This window comes from Homo sapiens, chromosome 13, assembly GCF_000001405.40.
Source record: "Homo sapiens chromosome 13, GRCh38.p14 Primary Assembly".
NCBI lineage: Eukaryota > Metazoa > Chordata > Mammalia > Primates > Hominidae > Homo > Homo sapiens.
In genome coordinates this window covers 72156406-72176577 of record NC_000013.11, presented here as the reverse complement: position 1 = coordinate 72176577, position 20172 = coordinate 72156406, and the positions used below count along the sequence as shown (strand labels likewise).

The following is a 20172-nucleotide window of genomic DNA, read 5'->3' as shown; positions in this document are numbered from 1 at the left end:
TTGCAGTTCCAGGAGTTTTGAAAATGCTCCCAGTCAAATACCTCAGGCTGCAGATTTATTTAAATGCGGTAGAGTTCTCTTATTCTTTTTAACATTTTTTTTTTCAGTTTATAACAGTATCTTTCACCTAGTAGGGATGTAATACATATTTGGGAAACTAAATTGAAAAGACTACCTTCAAAGCAAAGACTTCTTTAGGTTTAAGATATTGTTGATAAAAAAAAATTGTAATACTGACACTTGAGGTTGATTGCTCAGTCTACTTTTTCATTTTATGGGAACCATTTTTATATCTGAAAATGATATTCCTAATAAGGACATAGCAAAAAACAGCACCAGGCTTTCTATTAATGGCTTAGGAATAATTTAAATAGAAGTCAGCACAGTATTACATTGTTAAGCTTTATTCAAGAATTATAGGAAATATGTTATTAGGTTCACTTAAAGTCTAAGCTGAAGAATTCTCCCTTGGAAGACATTTCCTGATTAGACCTGAATTGTTTTTCTATGTCACCACAAAGACAATGCAAATGCTGATTAAAGCAATTAAAACTTTCCTTTGTTTGCAGAAAGAGATGTACCCAGATATGGCTTTTTGTTTGTAGACATCTTAATAAGCACTAGCAGACTGAAATGAAATCTGTCATCAGTTATATTTTTCTCTTAGACAAACTGTCTACTTCACATACATATTAAGCGAGATTTGTTACCAAAGCTTCCTTATATTTCTATTTGTTGTTGTAAAATGGTAAATGTAGAAATAACACTAGATCTATCAATTTGATAATATAATGCAATACATCTGGCAGCTGAAAGGGAAAAAAATGTAATGACATATTTGGCATAGTGAATGGTTTTTATTATGGGATTTTTTCTTTCTTTTTAGCACAATTGTGCCATTTGTTGCAGACTAATGTCAAAGAGTAAAAAGTATTATTGGGGATCGGGAATTTAGCTTTTATACAACATAAATTGACTGCCATGTAAATATAAACATCAGTCTTATTGCTTGTTAAATATTTATTTACTGAAACGATTTGAACAGGAAAGCTTGCTGAAGGGAACCATGTCTGTTTTTAACTATATATTGCTGAATTCTTTTATAAATTTGGCTTTTCTTCTGCTTCATATTTACAGTTTTACATTAATTCTACTGTAGAATGTTTAAAAATATAAGAACAAAATTTCTAGAATGTGTGGAAATCAATTCTAAAAATCTAGGGTAACTAAAATTTTATTTGCTTTCATAGCAATGTAAAGACACTATTTTAATGAAATTAACTTTGTAGTAGCATAAAGGGACATCACTGATTCATTCATTCACTCAAATGTTCTTCAGACTTTTCCTGACCTCCGTGTGTCAGGCATCGGGCTTGCTTCTGGGGGCATAAATGTGAATGAGCCACAAGAAGCCCAGCCTCGCTAGGGAGACAGATACATATTAGGTGTTGGGTATTATAATAGAGAAGCTTGCTGTGTGTGCCCATAATACATAAGCAAAACAAATCAAGGTAAGGCACTAGGAAAAACTGTCATTAACTTATTTCCATTTCTTGGAAATAAATAAAAGATAATTATGAAGTAATCTATTATATTACTAGAGCTCTTATGGCCTTAAGAATGTTAAATCAGAAAGTATCAGGGTTGCTTGCATGGAGATAAGTTTGAGATTTGAACTGCAAAGGGGAGTCTTCCTTGCAAATAGGCTTTGAATCACCCACTCCAGTTTTCTCTAGGCCTGGGAGCATGCTGGTGCAGCAGAAAGAATCCAGCTACTGATAGAGAGATGGCAAACGCTGAGTACAGAAAGGCATAGAAAGCAACATATTGCACAATCATTAGCAGAATGAAAAGGCGAAGATTAAGGACTGTGTGACTGCAAGTTAGGCTGTAATGCTAGAAGTGGACATCTCAGAACAGACAAACCTGGGAGGGAGGAGAATCAGTGGGGCCCAAGAAGACAATCCAGTCTCTACATTGAACAATTCCCTTAGACATACCAAAAAGGGCTATCACTTCCCTTCATAAGAAGAAATCAAAGGTGATTATCAGGGCTCAACATGTATCCTTCTTAGTCTGATGAATATAATAATGTAGAACAATTATATGATAATTTCAGAATATGGGTGGATTTGTTTGGCATCTTCATAAAATCACAAATAACATAAACCATGAAATCCCAGACACCTGGAGATTAGGTGATCTCCATGTTGTTTTGGAGGCCAGATTTATGTGCCAATTGTGAGAAAAATCAGAAAAATGATCAGTACGGAATTCTGTAAAGGACTTATTTCTATTAGTGTGCCATATAATTCATGTTTCATAGCAGAAAATGAATGAGAGATATAAAATGTATCTGATTTATTTAATCCATATAAGTAGTCATTCTGGAAAACTATTTCCTACACAAATTTTATGATTTTAAATGAACATAAACACACCATGGTTATTTTGGGTGCCCCTTGTAGACTCAGCCCAAGTTTCACTTCTCTCAATGGTGCAATGGTCAAGCAGAAAGAGAACAAGATGGAACAAGAGGTTTGTATCACACCTGTCCCATTGTTGCTGAATTGTGGACAAGGTACTTGGTATCCCTCAACCTCAGGGTTATCATCTGCAAATTAAAGCAAATAAAACTAATATTTACCACAAAGTTTGTAGTCAGTAGTCAATAAAAATAACACTATTATTAGTTTTTATATACGTTTTTAAGAAAACTGGTTAAATAATATATAATCAGTGAAAAAAAACACTTTGAAAGCTGAAATGTGCCTTGTAACACACTCTGAGTTGCTACTAGTAAATGTTAATTCTACAGAAAAATTAGATAACTACACTGAATTTCAGTGTTACAGTGTAAAGCTGGGGATAATAGAGTTATACGTTAGAGGAAATTATACATGCAAACATCTAGGAGAGTCTCTGAACTTATAGATCCTCTGAAATGTAATTGATCCTAAACTGAACATAAAATTTATTGAATAGTTAATAAAAACATATCACGTGTCTAAACTCAACTCACCCTTTGAGCATCCAGGTTATTGTTCATTGGCAAATATCTTTTGCTTTTCTATTGAAATAAAAACAGAAAAAGAAAACCTTTAGGAAAAACAAACTCAATATGCATTAGAGAAACATCTGTATGTACCTTATAATCAATATAATTAAAATACCAAATACTGAAAATTATAATAAATAACTGAGCTCAGTTTTGGGACGGTCTGTTAATAAGTATATGTGTGTTTATGTGTTGAAAGAAACATGAAAGGATATACATCAGTATATTAATAGAGGTTGTTTCTGAGAGATGAGTTTTTTCAACTATTTATGTTATCGAAAACTTTTACAATAACTTGTCCTAGATTAATAATTTTTAAAAGGCTTTTTGTATTTTTAGGAGTATTTTTGTGATAAACTTTCTAAACAGTTTTCTGAAAACAAATTGTTAATGTAAACATTCTTATCTGATTACCATCAATAGTTACATAAGCAACTAATGAAATTATAATTTGAAACTGTAGAATAAATCGTTTGGTTTAATTTTAAGTAACTTGTTTTAAAGATGTTTTTGAAATAAATGGTTTTAAGTGTTTTAATTGTCAAGTCCACCAATAGCCACAGATTCTAGAAAGGTTTAGTGTATTTAAAGATTAACTGCTTAGCCTTGCTAGACAAATAGCATTCAGAATTTAAGTGTATTATTTTTTCCCTGATTTGATCACAGACCTAATTTGGTAAAGAGGTCAGTACTTGGCACATTTGAGCAAATATCAAAATGGTATTGGATATTTATAGAACTAAATTAGATGTTAAACAAATGGAAATTATAATTTAGAGAAAGAAAAAGACAAGATATTTATAGCTCGTTGAGTACAATAAGAGTCTTTTACTTTTTACTGGAAAGCGATTTTTAAAAACTGTCATTTGAAAAATAAACCACTTAAAATATCTAATAAATTATTTTTACCTGAATTATGGAGATTTTAAGTTAACTTTGTGAATATTACTGAAATACTATTCTGAGTTTTCTTCACCATAGGGAAAATTTGATCGGAATGTCATTGAAGTGATGTTGAGTCAGTGAACACTGAGGTTGAATTGCTCGGGTCAACTTCTGAGCCTAGAGCTTAATTTAACCTTCCAAAGAAAGTTCTTAGATTTGCCATAGTTTCCATTGTGTCTTGCTGTAGTCTACAAAGGAATCTAAACCTCTAAGCAGGAGTACCCACCACTAACTTATTCTCTAGAATCAGGATACCTCCCACATTGTAAAGACATTGATCTTGAAGAATTTCAATTCTCTGTGCTTTCGTTTCAACATGGGGCCTAAATGTTAGCCAACTGACTCACTGGGTGTCCAGCAGTGTTCCAGAGCTAGATATGACAGACACACCATGAAATGTACAATATTCTCTTTTTTGGAGAACTTAAGAGATTTTGAAGTTAATTTAGACTACAGGCAGTATTTATTGTGTGTGATGATTTTGGATCTCAGTCTCTGAGTAAGATGTGACTCTGCTAATACAGCAAACTCTTCAAAGCTCTGAGTTTCTCTTAAGCAAATTCTATTGAACCCAGCAAATCATTTACTCAACAATGAGAATTTTATCTCCAGTATATGAAACTTTTGAATTTCTTCTATTGATAACAGAGAGACACGGAAGTGAGTACTAGGAAGAGTAAAAGAAGAACAGTAAGCCCCACCTCAAAGGAAATGGTTAAAGATTTTTGCCTTAGGACATATAAAGAAAACTAAAGGAACCTAAAAAACTGGGCCTTTTAATATATTCCTGGAGCTGAACTGTTTGCAGAAGGGGCTTGAGCTGTTAGGGGAGTCTCTTTAGAGAGAGAATTTGAGAAATATCTTTCAGCACGTCAGGAAAGTTAAACAGAGGTTACCCAAAGCTTTGTTAAATCTCAAGCATCCAAATTACTTTGCATTTCTGGGATTTGGAGGCAGCAGTCAACACTTCTGAATCTTAAAACTAGGAAGGCGTTAATGTTTGGTTTGGAGACCAGAGTAGAAAAAAATATCTGTGAGAATACAACTTCATGAAATAAAGCAAAATAATTTATAAGCATTTTAAAGTTCTGGGAAGGCAGAAGCTAGACTATTTCTCAGGAGCAAGAAATGAAATATACAGTAGTCTCTAATATTACTTTATTTGTATAAACATTTTAGTGTTTGTGCAAACATTTACAAAGACTTTCATAGAGTCACTCTCAGCCACAGTGCAATAACATTTTTTTTGATCCCAGAAGTATTTGAACCACAAATGATCCTACCCCAAGGGTTTTCAGAAACAAAACTGGGTGTTAGGCAGTGTCTCCTGCACCTAACATAGGAAGAAGGACTTTTCGTATGTGAATAAAGGAAGAGAGTATTAGTTAATGTGTCATAAGGAATGCTCAGGCGCTTATGCTGGCTCACCATTGCAGCTATGGAAATGTCAAGTCAAGGTCATTTGGGTTTTCAAGGTTTTTCTTCAGGTCTACCAAACTTGTCCTCATAGCTACTGAAGCCTCTCATTGTGTTTATTCTTGAACTTCTAAAGCTTTATAACCTAGCTACTTCCTATTAGTCCTATGCTGGAACTGAACTTCTTGCTGTTCTCAAACTAGTTAGTGTCTTGGAACTTCACTAAAGTCTCTTTTATAGACTGGTAACTGTAAGATTCTGCCCCGGGGCCTGAAAGCTTAAGGGGATGAGTAACTCCTCCCTTCTCAGGTCCAGCCGCAAGTCGCAAGGCAGCTTGCCTCAGCAGCGTGCACCAGCAAGATAGCAGAAGCAGGAAGAGAGCTGGCCGGAAGACATGTGCCCCTAAAGATCCAGAAAGAGGGCATCCGGGTACAACGTAGCAGTTACATGACTAGGGCACTTCACGTTTACAGGGGACTATAAAATCTTTGCCCTGTCCTCACTTGCTGCTGACGCCATTTTAGGCCTTAACCCGCCTGCACCCAGGCGCTCATTAAAACAGCATGTTGCTCCACATTGCCTGCTGTTGTCTGTTGGCGCGCTCTCGGGTTCGAACCAATACAGGAACCTTACAGGAACATCCCCTTAACTGTCCCCAGGACTGTGAGTATCAGGCAAGAACAAATCAACAATCCTTCTGGCACCCAGCATTCATTTCTGTTTGTTCTGCTTTGCCATTGGTGGTTCAGAGTGTCATGATTGTAAACTTCTTCCTCCATCTCTTCCAACTTCAAACCTCAAATTCTAGGAAAATGTCCAGAGCAGCTAGAGTCCTAGCACAATATCTTTTGCTAAAAAATAAAAAATTAAAAATTACAATGTAAATCCTCCTGCTGGTGGAACTGGCTTCTGAGAATGACAAATTTAACTTTTCTATAGCACATGGTTTCCAGGAATAATAATCATAATAACCTTTTAAAAAAGTTTTATAATATACCTTTCCCCACACATGACTATTATAGGCAGAAATTTTACATAATTTAAAAATTCCCCTGATTCAATATTCACTTTCTTTCTTTTGTATGAAAGTCTTGGAGGGCATTGAATTTAACAGGAAAATGAAAAAAGAAAACCAACAAATGTATTGATGTTATTATTTAGCTTCCCCCATCGATTTCTTTTCATTTTTTCCACAGTAGTTCTTTTTCTTTTCAATTGTGAATGTTAATTGAATAAATCGTTCATTAGACTTGAACAGACAATTAGACAAATAGAATTAGACAATTTTTGTAATATACCTACCTCTTATATAACGTTCAGACTATGATTCAAACACCAAATTGGCTGAGAAAGTAAGACAGAATCATCCTATTTCATGTCGTAGTTGGTGTTACCAATTAATAGAGATAATCCAAAGAGTCAAGATTTGAAGAAAAAAGATTTTAAAATTACATTAAAACAAATCTTTAGTTAGAATTGTTAGTAACACCATTTTTCCCCTGGACCAATCCTCCAGGTTCGATTCAATGCTAGAACTATCCTTAATTGGTTGGAGTTTGTTCCAGAATCTGAACAATAATTATTATTCTCTCTCCTGAGAAAGAATATGACAAACAGTAAGCTATCTCTACCCTCCCAAAGATATCAAGTGGATAGTAGTGGTCAAATCACTTGATCCTACAGGGTGACACACAGTGGAATGATAGGTGTTACTGAACTGAACTTGGGTTCACACACCCGGCACAGGAAAACCAAACACTGACATCAGGATTGCAGCAAGAGAAAGTGAAGCATTTATTGCAGGGCACCAAGCAAGAAAAATCGGACAGCTAATACTTAGGACCTGAACTCCCTCATGGCTTACAGGTAAGGGTTTTGAAAGGCCGGGAGGCAGAGGTTGCAGGCAAAGTCATAAATCAGTACCTACAGACTATCCATTGGTTTGACCTAAAAGGGTAAGACGTCTCAAGGTAGGAGTCCACAGGTCATAGGTGAGTTCAAAGATTTTCTTATTTGCAATTGGTTAAGGAGGGAAAGTTTTGTCTAAAAATTTGGGGTCAGATGAAAAGAACCTTAGCTCTGGCTCATGGGTGTGACCTCATCCAGGCCCCTCTGGAAGAAATTTAGAACAAAGAATAGTGGTCAGAGTTCAGTCCTTAGTTTTCCCTTGTTAACGCGAACTAAATATGGCCTGAGAAGTACTCCATACATCTATATATAAGTACGGAGAAGGACTCCTTACTTCTATATTTGAGTCCTTGTGAATCAACTGCAACCTAGCTAATAGGCAGACAAGATTGAAAACTTAACTTAGTAATGTGCGCCTGTAACAATAGCTGAGACTTGGCCAATCCTAGCGGCCTTACTTCAACCACTCATACCCTGCTGAGTGTTCAAACTGTGTTCAAATAAGGCAAAGGCTGAGCTATAACCAATCTAGTTGTTCTGTACCTCACTTCTCATTTCTGTAGGTCGTTCCCTTTTTATGTCTATAAATCTTCTTCCACCACGTGGCTGCACTGGAGTCTCTGTAAATCTGCTGTGATTCTAGGGGCTGCCCATTTCGCGAATCATTCATTGCTCAATTAAACTCCTTTAAATTTAATTCAGCTGAAGTTTTTCTTTTATCGCCCTTATCTTAGGTCCACATGCCAGCAGGTCTGTTAGTTGGGGGTGTGGGTTTCTGAAAAACAACTCAGGGACATATGCTAAGATGTTATCTTTAGTTTCTGTAGGGAAACTAAACTTCCCATGATTCTAACTTCCTTGGCCATTGTTTCATGCTACCCTTACCTTCTTGCTTATCAAGTAACTCATTTACTTTTCAGAGCTAGCTAGGTGCCTGGAATTTCCCTTGAAGGGATTCAAGATTTTCCGTTATTTTCATGCTTGAGGTGTGGGGCTTAGGATCTCCTAGGAAGCTCTGAGAAATGCAGCATTCTGGGCTGGGCTCTCCTCTTGTGGCTCACTGTTAGCCATATGTCTTGGAGTTGATGGCATCTAATAGGGCTCTCACTAGCAGCTCTCAGCACTGGCTGCAGTCTGTTTTTCTGGTCAACCATCTCAGGAAAATGGTATTTGGATCATTTCTGATAACCTTCCGTTCTGCCATATATCTGGTCACACCCTTTGCAGCTGGACATCATAACTCATCCAGGATGGTGCAAGGTAGTTCATAAAATCTGTGCACTAAAATCTCTTGATGATGTAATTTTATTCTGTTCTTTCAAGGATTTTATTCAGATCCCCTAGAGCTGTGTTTGGGAAGCAAACACTGTAAAAGCCCATACATCACCTTCCTAGCCGGTCCTCTTTGCCTGTCCTGGGGCAGGCCTAGAATCTCCTGTACCTCTCCTTTCACTTAGACTCCATTTTCGGTCCTTAGGTGTGTCTTCTGGGGAACTACTGCCATCTCATATTACTTCAGTCTAGCAGTTTCCAATCACAGGTGTTTAGGCTCCTTGGCAACTGCTACCAATACCACTTAATTTGTCCTCCTATAGAGTCTGGAAGTACCTAGGCAAATCAAGTCTCTAGAATAGCTGAGAATATTTCAGCCTCCTCCAAGGTAAATGTGCCAAGCTAAGCCAACTAAAGATCCTGGCTTTCCTAATCTAGGTAACAGCAAACACATGGTGATGGATGGTAAGAAGCAAGTTCTGAAGAAAATAAAGTTGCTTTTGGTTGCTATTTTTGTGTAAAGAAAGATAAAGACACCTGTGCCTTAGAGCTCTGAGCCAAGCTTTCCCAGCACAAGTGTAGACAAGATAGAGCAAGAAGCTTTACAGTATAACCTCCCTCCCTCCCGCTGCTGCACTCCCAGTCTGATAGGCAGGTTTATCTTCAGTTTGAACATTGGCATTTGTGAATCTCTCAATTAGATTCCTCTCTTATTAATCCTTGATTGAGGGACTGCTGCATGCATAGGAGAATGAACACAGTATCTTAAAGTGGAGGAAGAGGGGATGAAGAATGAATATTGCTTTTCTATTTATGAATTTCTTTATTTGCAGGCAGGCAGACTTTGCTGTGAATGAAGAGAAGAATTATGTCTGTGCTTTGGCTCCTTTACTAAAAGCGAAGTTTTCCTGTTTTTTTGTATAGTTTTCCTAATTTTCAGATAAAGTATTTTATATTTTTGCAGTCTTGACAATGTAACATGTTGAGCTTCAATGAAGGGCACCACTGCCTGGGAAAAACCAAATCCAAATTAGAGTAGTACTGTTTCCTCTTTTGAAAAGTGGGAGCATGATAATCAGATATCAAAAGGTCATTGTAAGGGATAAATGAAATGACGTACATGACAACAGCCAACGTAATGCCGGGCACACAGTGACAGTAAAAATTAGAACTGCCTCTGAATGTTGCTTCTTTAGTCTGCCACCTTCTAAAAGCCAGAAGTTTACATTTTTCTTATAGTGCTGATATATTATGCAAAGAGCATGTGCTAAAATGTTTACAAGCCTGAAAGATGGACACCACACCTGTACACACATTATACTAAAGCATGAAAGAATGAAGGGCTAGTTTCATTACATCTCCTCTAAATAATCCAAAATTCTTTTTTTTTTTCCAGTGCTTGTAAGAATTCCCACTATTATTAATTATCCTTCTGTTTGCTTTTCATTTTCCTGTCTCTTCCCCAGGGCAAGTGACTCAGCTAAAACTCACACAAGTTAAAAATACACAGACTCAGAACTATTGGTGACAACATTTCTACCTCATATAGCTAGATACTACTCAGGGAATCCCTCAACCCCAAGGAAATTTCTTGATCAACGAGTAAACGTGAGAGATGTGTACAAACAATTACTCCAAGTCAATACATTTATGGTGGGTAGGAGTCTAGGTACTTTGTGCTGAGTCACAGACCTCAGGGAATGAAAGAGAAAATGAAAAACAAGTGACAAGATTATGATCATGGTAATTCTTGTAAACTGAATTTTTAAAATATTTGCAGACAGTTTAGAATCAGCTAACAGGAAATCTATCTAGGTTGTCCTTTATCTTCTTTCACTGTAATGGCCAATATACAATGTGGCAAACCCAGTCAATTTATGTATGACCACGCATATCTGGACATATTGTGTACATGTGGGAAAATCGAACAATTTCTATCAGGTTGCTAACCACTCCAATATAGCTTTAACCGTTTTAAAAAGGGTAAAGAAAATATGGTACATATACACTATGGATTACTATGCAGCCATAAAAAAGAATGAGATCATGTCCTTTGCAGGGACATGGATGGAGCTGGAGGCCATGAGACTTGGCAAACTAACACAGGAACAGAAAACCAAATACCACATGTCCTCACTTATAAGCGGAGCTTAGAGAGAGAACATATGGACACATAGAAAGGAACAACAGACACTGGGGCCTATCGTTGGGTAGAGGGTGGGAGGAGGGCGAGGACCAGGAAAAATAACTAAGGGGCACTAGGCTTAATACCTGGGTAATGAAATAATCTGTATAACAAACCCCCGTGACACAAGTTTACCTATGTAACAAACCTGCACATGTACCTTTGAACTTAAAAGTAAAAAAGATGGGGAGCTTAAGTGTTCAGAAAGATATAAACATATCACCACAGTAGATTTTTAGTATGTGTAAAAACTAAGGTGTTGATTCCAATGTATGTTCTCTGTGCCTGAACCTGATAGCAGATTTGTTGCACAATCTCTGTCAAGAGTTTCATGAGGTCTTTTCAACAGATGGCCAAGCCCTTTGTCCTCTTTTCTAAATGTATGCCATTCTTGTGAATTTATTTAACTATTACTAAGTTGGGCTATAGGGACATTTTGGGCTAAATCTGGCCCTAGAACTCTATTTGATAAAACATCAACATTGTAACATTGTAGTTATTTTCTAGCATGAATTTTCTTGGAGGTTTTTTTCATGGTTTGTTCAACCTGAGCAACTAACCTCAGGGAGCAGGACCCATCATGGATAATAACTACTGCAATTTAGCTTCAAACAACTGCTGTGATAAAATCATAACACTAATTGGCTAAGGAATTTAGACTCTAATGTAAAAGCGTGGTTGGGATTTTGTGGGTATACATCACACTGAAAGACAGAAGAGATCCATTCTGGCTGGGAACTTAATAAAGTAATAGGTGACCAATACAGGACCCAGCCCAGCTGTTGTTATTCTTTTGATTTCTTAATTCAGCTGCTGGCAGATACTCCAGTGAGCCTCTATTGTTTGTATTTAGGTAGGATTATTATAACTGGCTTTCTTTCCATGAAGGAGAAATAATTCTCTTCTCATAGACCCAGCAAGCACCACTGGCCTTGGTCCCATCTCTCTTTTTGTCTCTCCCTTTGAGAAACAGGTCTAGGCCTGGTTTTTTAAAAACAGTTCACTTACAAATGAAACAAATGGGTCAGGTTTATTAGGTAAGACCAAATATCATTTCTCCATGAAGGGAAATATTTTAAATGGCTATCACCTTACTAGTTGAAGTGTTGCAGTCCAGTTTTAGGACAGTGACTTGGCAGATAAAAGGAGCATCTCTCATTGACTATTTCTTTCTACCATAGTATATATTTTCAACTTTGAATTTTACATTAATCATATTTTCCTTTTATTACATTCCTCCCTAGCCTCAGAGTAATTCATATTTATTTAAATCATAAAAATCTTGTGGTTAGTAAAATGTAAAGAGCAAGTTATAATTGAAATTCCTTTTATTCCTTTTCTTATTGATAAGTATACTGAATAGCAAATTCTAAAATTTGTGGTTTGTGAATAAGAGTATCAGTTTTTCTTAGGCACAAGTTACTGAATACTGACAAATCCTCCTTGGCTCAATACTGCCTCCAAAACATAACGGCATAAAATGCAACATCAGGGAGAAATAAAAGAGAAAGATGAAGAGAAATTTTACATATATATATATATATATATATAAAAATATACAGAGAGAGGTTACGTGCGTGTATGTGTGTGTGTGTGTGTGTGTGTGTGTGTACAGCAATATTCTTCAAGGTTTCTAGAAGTCTGACCTCTAATTTGTGAATCAAAGAATTAGGTTGAATATCTGAGATAAATTTAAATGCTGCATGTCAATGCTACAAAACCCTTTAGTAAATGTATAACAAATCAACAGCTTCTAAATCTGCTGTTGAGAGAGGAAGTTCAAATTTGTTGAACCCTCGTTATTATAGGCTTGAAAGGCTTCTCGTGCCGAAGCAAGATCTGCATGATTATGCTGCCAAGCACGAGTTGAGTTGGGCTGAATGCTGTTCCCTGTAAGCCTAATTGACAATTTTGTTGCCCTTCTCTGACTATTTAAGAAGAGTTGTGAGGTCAGTGGCAATGATACTTCTCTGAGTCATAAATGCCATCCAGCAGGACATTTTTTTTAACCTGTTCTTTTAGAAGGCTGCAGTGTCAAATATTTAAAAATAAAATGTTTTACAGGAGAAGAGGAATCTGACAACACAGCTGACCCACATTTCAGAAGGAAAATGAGAAATATAAGGGTCAGATCCCAGCCAGTGGGAACACAATGAGCACTTACGCTGTAAATGAAGTAGTGAAATCGCCCACTGGAACAAGCAATTTTCATAACCAGTATACTTCAGTAAAATGAATTTTATCCTATCCTGTGACCTCCTCAAGTTCCCAAACCAAAAGTCTTCAGGGTACATCAGACTGGCAAAAAAAAAAAACAAAAAAAAAAAACGCACAGTCACCTCTGTAAGTGGCAAATTAAGTATCCAAATACCAATTCTCAAAAAATTAACCCAAATAATATACTGTCATTAGTACTTAGGGGAACTTATTTGTTAAATGATCATTTATTTTCATAATTTTCTTTTTCCATAAGTTTGGACATCGTAACATCAAAATTTCTAAATGGAAGTATTGCAACCAGCAAATTAAGCAGAAACATCAGCATCAAGGTATGGAATCCAAATATCTAAGGATTAAGTAAATGTTAAGGCTATAAGCATAATAACCTATCAGTTGCTGGATATATTTCAGACATTTGTTTTTGTTTTCCAATATATAAGAAAGTGTAATTCATTTTTTTCACTTGACAGTTAAGTGTTTGAATAATATTGAGACAATGAGAGCAGTTTTGATACTTCCTCATGAAGTGTAAAGAAATATCTATTTGAAAAGCCATTGTTTTCCATAGGTCTTGTAATTTTTTTCTTCAATTTTTGTGGGTATATAGTAGGATTTTCCATTTGACGAATGTCTTATTATTCAAAATATAGAGCTCATAACATTTTTATTAATCTTTCACATTTTTCTAGTTCTAAAAATGAAGAAAATAGGTATATTTATATAAACAAAAATATAGTTTCCCTTAAGTTGTTTGCATATATCTTTAAGCAAATATATCCTGAAAAATATTTTGAAATTATATAGTTATGAATCACATAAGATCCCTTTGAAAGCCTGATGCAGATAATGAAGTTTGATTGTAATTTCAAGTCTGAATAAAAATAAAAACCATCTTAAATCTCCTAATTCATAAATTTAATTAAAGAGGACTACAATAATGACATAAAATTGACTAGACCTAGCCCAAATTTTCTGGATCACTGTGAAGAATGTAGCTTACTTAAAACATAACACTTTTCATAAATGACATGAGCTACGACTAGATCATTTAGAACAATATAGGATGAATATCATCACATTACAGAAGACATACTTTTTTCCAGTATAATACAGATTCACTGTTATGCCACAGCTTAATCTCAATGACATATTTTCTAGGATTATCTTTGTAAAGACCTTATTTTGTACTTCAACAGTGGTGGATCAAATTCTTTAAATGATAATAAAACTGAGAGTCATAAAAGAGATGGTCAATAAGTTACAGTTTTTCTTTCATCTCCCAATTCTGGTTTTTCATTCTGACAGCATTTCCCCAAGTACACTTCTGTGAGTACTAAAAGAAACTGTAGTTGATATGCGATCTTAATTTTTCAGAGGTAGTTTGTGGCTGTATTTTTGTTTCTCTATAAGCACATGAATGCTACATGATTAACAATAGTAAATAATAAGTTTATTTTTAATTTCTTTTTTTATAGTCTCATAAGAACCTCAACTTATTTCAGAGTTTATACCTATGGCATGTATTAGCTAAAACTAAAAAATATATAGTCTATACACATTATTTTATTGTTTAAATGGTCCTCATTCATGTTTCATTTCCATAATATTTCCCCAGCTTGTGAAGCTTATGTTACATTGAGCTCCTTTTTAAATTCACAATGCATAAAACTGCCAGGTGGCCTAATAACAGAGTGGATTAACAGATTGAACTATAAATCAGATGGTTGTGTTCACGTACTGTAAAAATACCACCAATTTCTTTCAGATTATAGTTTGTACACTGATTCCACAGAGTGATCACAAATGCATTGGGAAATTTAAAATGAAGAAAGAGATCATATATCCCAATCTAAAAAATAGTATTTTCTTCATTTTCACTTTATCAGTATTTTTATCAACCTTGTATCATTGTTGTGAAATTAAATAAAATAATAATTATAATCCCCATGAAACACTGCCTAGCCAAAAACCATTACTATTATTACTACTAGTATTTAAACCTATTAAATCTATATTAAAATCATTATTTTTGATTAATGATTTAATATTATGGTAAATAGTTATTCATCTCAACATTTATTGAAAACATGCAGTGAGTCATGACTGTTTGTTATATAAAGTAGTAAAAATCGGGAGTATTTATAGAAATTGCATATCTCCAGGATGCTTAAATAATTTGAAAAATGAGATAATAATTTATATTTTTTTCCAAGGCAGTGGGATTTTTGTAAAGCATTTAAGTTTAAGCACAAATGTATATAGCAACCTGGACTTTTCATACCTGGAAAAAGGAACAAAAACCAACTATAGCACAATGCAGTGCACGAGTAAGGAAACTGCAAACCGAGAACTCAACTTGCTTATTGATGGTTGTGCAGCTCAGTGGCAACGGAAATAGAGCAAGAGCCTTGTCAGCACGTGAATAATGACTCCCCTTTGCATAGTGCATAAGAGTTTACAGAGTGTATGTGTAGACTTCATCTACCTTATAGCAATAAGTGGGGAGAGTTACACGGAGGCCCAGTTTTTCTACTTTTAGGTACAAAGCTCTATGTGCTGTCTCACTCCCCCAATCTAGTGCTGTTTCTATTATTTTATGGTATTTCCATGTCCCATGAGTGTTTTCATGTTAACAGAATATATTTTATGAACCAACAGAAGCAAACAGAATCAATTTCATCTTGCAAGTTGAAATACATGTAGCACAATTAGAAACATATAAACTACATGTAGATGGGTAAAGTCAATAATATTACAGCCCTATGTGCGAAAGTCATAAACTAAAAATTCAAAAGCAGAATGAAGACTGATTAAGAAAGCTTTCATGATTTGTTGGCTTTTTAAAAAAGTGTTGATTTATCAGCAAAATAAATCCAAGGAGGCTGGGCGTAGTGGCTCACACCTGTAATCTCAACACTTTGAGAGGCTGAGGCAGACGGATCACGAGGTCAAGAGATTGAGACCATCCTGGCCAACATGGCGAAACCCTGTCTCTACTAAAAATACAAAAATTAGCTGGGCGTGGTGGTGCATGCCTGTAATCCCAGCTACTCGGGAGGCTGAGGCAGGAGAATTGCTTGAACCCTGGAGGTGGAGTCTGCAGTGAGATGAGATCATGCTACTGCACTCCAGCCTGGTGACAAAGTAAGACTCCATCTTAAAAAGAAAAAAAAAAAATCCAAGGAACAGCTTCATGTGAAGGAATGGTAGGTCAACAGAAAAAAGTATACAAGCTGCAATGACAATGTTTAAGTCATTAGAGAAATCATGCTGAGATAAGTTAGCATTTTAGCAGTGAGCAGAGTCTAACATGAGACTTTTAAAAGTATTCATATACCTATAATGCTGAAGAGCCAGCACACATGTAGAATTTTGGTGAAGCAACAAACTGTTGCTCAGGTTACGTATCTTCCCCATGTTTGTGGGGCACCTACTATGGATGCAGTCTGATATCAGCAGCAGGAAGAAGAAGGAGCCAGAGGGTCTCCCACCAGCAATTAAATGCTCTCACTCAAAAATGACTCAAGTCACCTCTACCTATAACATAATGGCTGGAAGTAACAAGTCATACTCAACCACAAAGGGAATGGGGAATTATAATTCCCCCATAAGCCTGAAAAGGAGGAAACCATGGGCAAGCATTAGAAGACTCAACTATGGACATGATTAAAATGTAGTTTACCTCTTCTCATAATACTGCCTGTTGACTCTTTTAGACAGTTTTCAGGGCTGATCATTACCAAATATTGAATATATTACTGTCTGCAGAGCATTATGGTGCACACTCTGAGGGAAGGGAAGATGGGAAAAAGATTCTCACTCTAGCATTCATACTCTATAGCAGGGCTTCTCAACCTTGACATTATTGACATTTGAGGCTGGATAAGTCTTGTTTGTGGGATCTGTTCTAAGCATTGAAGGATATTTTATAGCATCCCCGTTTCTATTCACTAGATGCCAGCAGCAGTCCTGATCCTCCCTGCAAATTTTGACAATCAACATTTTCTTGAGACATTGCTAATATCTGAAGGGCAAAGTTGTTTTGCATGCTTTATAGAGAGGTGAATTCAAAGTGCTCCAGGGAAAAACATTAGATGTTCAAAAAATCGCACTCGTAGTTTGGAAGGGAAGGGATTAATTTTTATTGGGAGAACCCGAGGAAGCCTTTTGGAGAGGGTGAATTTGGCTGAAGACATAAGAAAGAATGTTTTCTGACATGGTGAAAAGAAGTAGGCCTAGATGGTAAAAAGAGTTGGAGCAAAATCTCAGAAGTGCAATAAAGCAGGATGAGTTCAGAGTGCAATCAGAGATGTAATGGAGAGAGTTAGTCTGAAATTACCTTTGGTTATAGATAAGTCAAGAAATGAAAAATGTACACAAAGATAATACATATAATTATATCCGGCTTTTTCTTGCATTTCTTAAGAACTAACTTAAATTTTAATTTCTATTTATGGATAGAGTATGGAGCAATTGGGGATGGTTCAAAGAAGATACCCACACAACAATTAAAAAGCTAGAATATAAAATCTGCAAGTTTATGTTTTGAGGAAGGGTGGTATCTTAATAAACAAATGGTATGGAAAATTTTGGGATATGCCTTCCATTGATGTGTCTCCCCCATACCTCTCTGTGTGGCAGAGACAATGGAACTCACCAAACTTTCCATCTATTCCCCTATGTGTTACCCCTCTGCAGCTTGGAGGGGCATGTGTTCTGAACAATAGGATATGGGGAAGTGATGGACCAAAGCATAAGGAGCCAGCCTGTGACCCCACAGCTAGATCTTCCCTTGCTGAAGCAACCTAGAAAACCAAATGCTCCAGATAGTGTAGTGAATGATAAGGTTGCCTCAGTTATCCTGGATCTCTGAGTAATCATGTGGAGCAGAGTCTCCAGTCAGCTCACATTGTACATTTATTCTCCTTTGAATGGTAAATCTATTTTTGGTGTATGTAGCCTTTGACAATTGGTACATTGTCTTTTTAACACAGCATTAATTAGCTCCTTTTGACTAATATGAAGTATAGAGTTCTGTCCAGCACTGAGATGAAAATAAGTACAAATAGAAGTAAGATAACATATAAAGTGAGATAGCTAATAAAATCACTGATTATATAAAAATCACAAGAATGAAACATGTCTTTATATAAATTCAGTTTTTAAAAGTATGATCTTGAGCAAGAGTTAAGTATTAGAAAAGATAATCCTTGAGATCCTCTTTTGCACTAAGATTGTGAGAATGGCTCTAATTTTCCTTTCTAAGTTTTTTTTTTTTTCTGTAACTCACCCATATGAACTACCTTCTCCAACTAAATAACTTTTCAGAGCTCCCCTACCTCCAAATCTATTCACACCTTCTTTCACTCTAAAAATCTCTACTTTTTATCTCTACTTATCCAATTTCTATCTACCTCTCAAGACTTAGTTAACCCCAACCACTCTCACATGAGATCTTTTAGACCCTGACTTGATGTTATTCTTCTGAATTTATTAGTCTTAGAATAATCATTTAGTGTTTATAAAAATCTTTTATTTCTGGCTTAGTCTATATTTATTTTCATTTCCATGTCATCTCAAGAAATGCATTAAAAAATTCCTGAGGCCGGGTGCGGTGGCTCATGCCTGTAATCCCAGCACTCTGGGAGGCCGAGGCGGGCGGATCACAAGGTCAAGAGATCGAGATGATCCTGGCTAACACGGTGAAACCCCGTCTCTACTAACAATATAAAAAATTAGCCAGGCGTGGTGGCAGGCACCTGTAGTCCCAGCTGCTCCGGAGGCTGAGGCAGGAGAATGGCGTGAACCTGGGAGGCAGAGCTTGCAGTGAGCCGAGATCGCGCCACTGCACTCCAGCCTGGGTGACAGAGCGACACTCCGTCTCAAAAAAAAAAAAAAAAAAATTCCTGAGAGCTGAATGTCCATTTTCTTACATTCCTACTGCTCACAACAGTGGACAACATGTTTTGTAGATAGTAAATACTTAATAAAGATGTGACGATTGTTACTGCTTATGGGTTTAACCTTTAGCTATCCAATTTACATTCTACTATTTGAATTAAGTATATTCATGTTCATTTGTAGTCTACATAGCTTAACATCATATCTAACATTATAATTATATCTAACATCAAAGGGCAGGTCAGAAAGATCTTCAATAGAAAACTTTCCATGTCACCACTTAGATGCAGAGAGAGTTGAAATACATGTAATGTGGACAATGTATCTATAGGATATTTGTTTTCTCTTTATGTCAGAACTGACCCTCTTCAAAGAAATTTATTCTTTATTTTTATTTTTAATATGTGTGCGACCACCCTTATATTCTTTGTAGTCACTGTTAGAATCTATTAAGAAAAACATTAACAAGAAAAAGACACACAAAGGGCAGATAAAAGATTCATAGAGAAGCTGAAACATCCAGTCCTAAGCAAAAACTAGAGTAGACAAGAAAGGACCCCAGAGGAAGAACAATGTAGTTACTGTGTGATCAATATATCTTGTGATGTATCACAGAATAATTAAAACTCTGTGCCAACCAACAAAACAATTATACCAGGCCAAACCACTATTCTCTCTGCTTTCAAACAAAGGAGTTTTCAGAAGCTAAAAGATATTTGCCCACCCACCCCTGGCAGCCTAGGTAACAGGGAGAGAAAAGTTAGAACATGTTAAAAGAAGAAATCTATTTACAATGTGTTTGCCCTAACTCTCCAAGTGTCTGCAAGGTTTAGCTGCTTAATTTTTACCACACAGTCTGTATTTGTACTGACTTTAGTGACACATATGTGAGTACATTCCTACTGGAAAGTCTAGGTCTCACTAAACACAGCAGTATAGGCATATTCATCCTTCAGCAGCTTTTTGTCTGAAAATGCAAATCAGTGAACGGAAACATTTTTCATGAATGTTTTTATTAGTTTTTTTCAAGTTCAGTTAATGTTAATCTTGAGGCAATACATTTTTAGATTTTTTATTGGTGTCAGAAGTTGTTACATATCTGAGTCTGTCTAACTGTGGGCATCTGAGTCTGTATTCTATTTCTTGTATTCACCAAAAAGATAAAAAGATAGCAGCATATAGAGTACTATGAAAGTGATATACCACTCTAACTTAATAGTTTTAACAAGTCAGGTGTTCACAAATGCCACTGTATAGATGATCTAGA

General features: G+C 36.0%; 2 annotated features.

Annotated features, from left to right (window-relative positions):
• Positions 5339-6538: an enhancer, noted in NCBI's record as "CDK7 strongly-dependent group 2 enhancer chr13:72744178-72745377 (GRCh37/hg19 assembly coordinates)". NCBI's record gives its function as "activates an origin of replication core promoter dependent on BRD2, BRD4, P300/CBP, MED14 and CDK7 cofactors, with strong dependence on CDK7, by STARR-seq in HCT116 cells {active_cell/tissue: HCT116}" and the evidence as "EXISTENCE:reporter gene assay evidence [ECO:0000049][PMID:35650434]".
• Positions 7519-8718: an enhancer, noted in NCBI's record as "BRD4-independent group 4 enhancer chr13:72741998-72743197 (GRCh37/hg19 assembly coordinates)". NCBI's record gives its function as "activates an origin of replication core promoter dependent on BRD2, P300/CBP, MED14 and CDK7 cofactors, and independent of BRD4, by STARR-seq in HCT116 cells {active_cell/tissue: HCT116}" and the evidence as "EXISTENCE:reporter gene assay evidence [ECO:0000049][PMID:35650434]".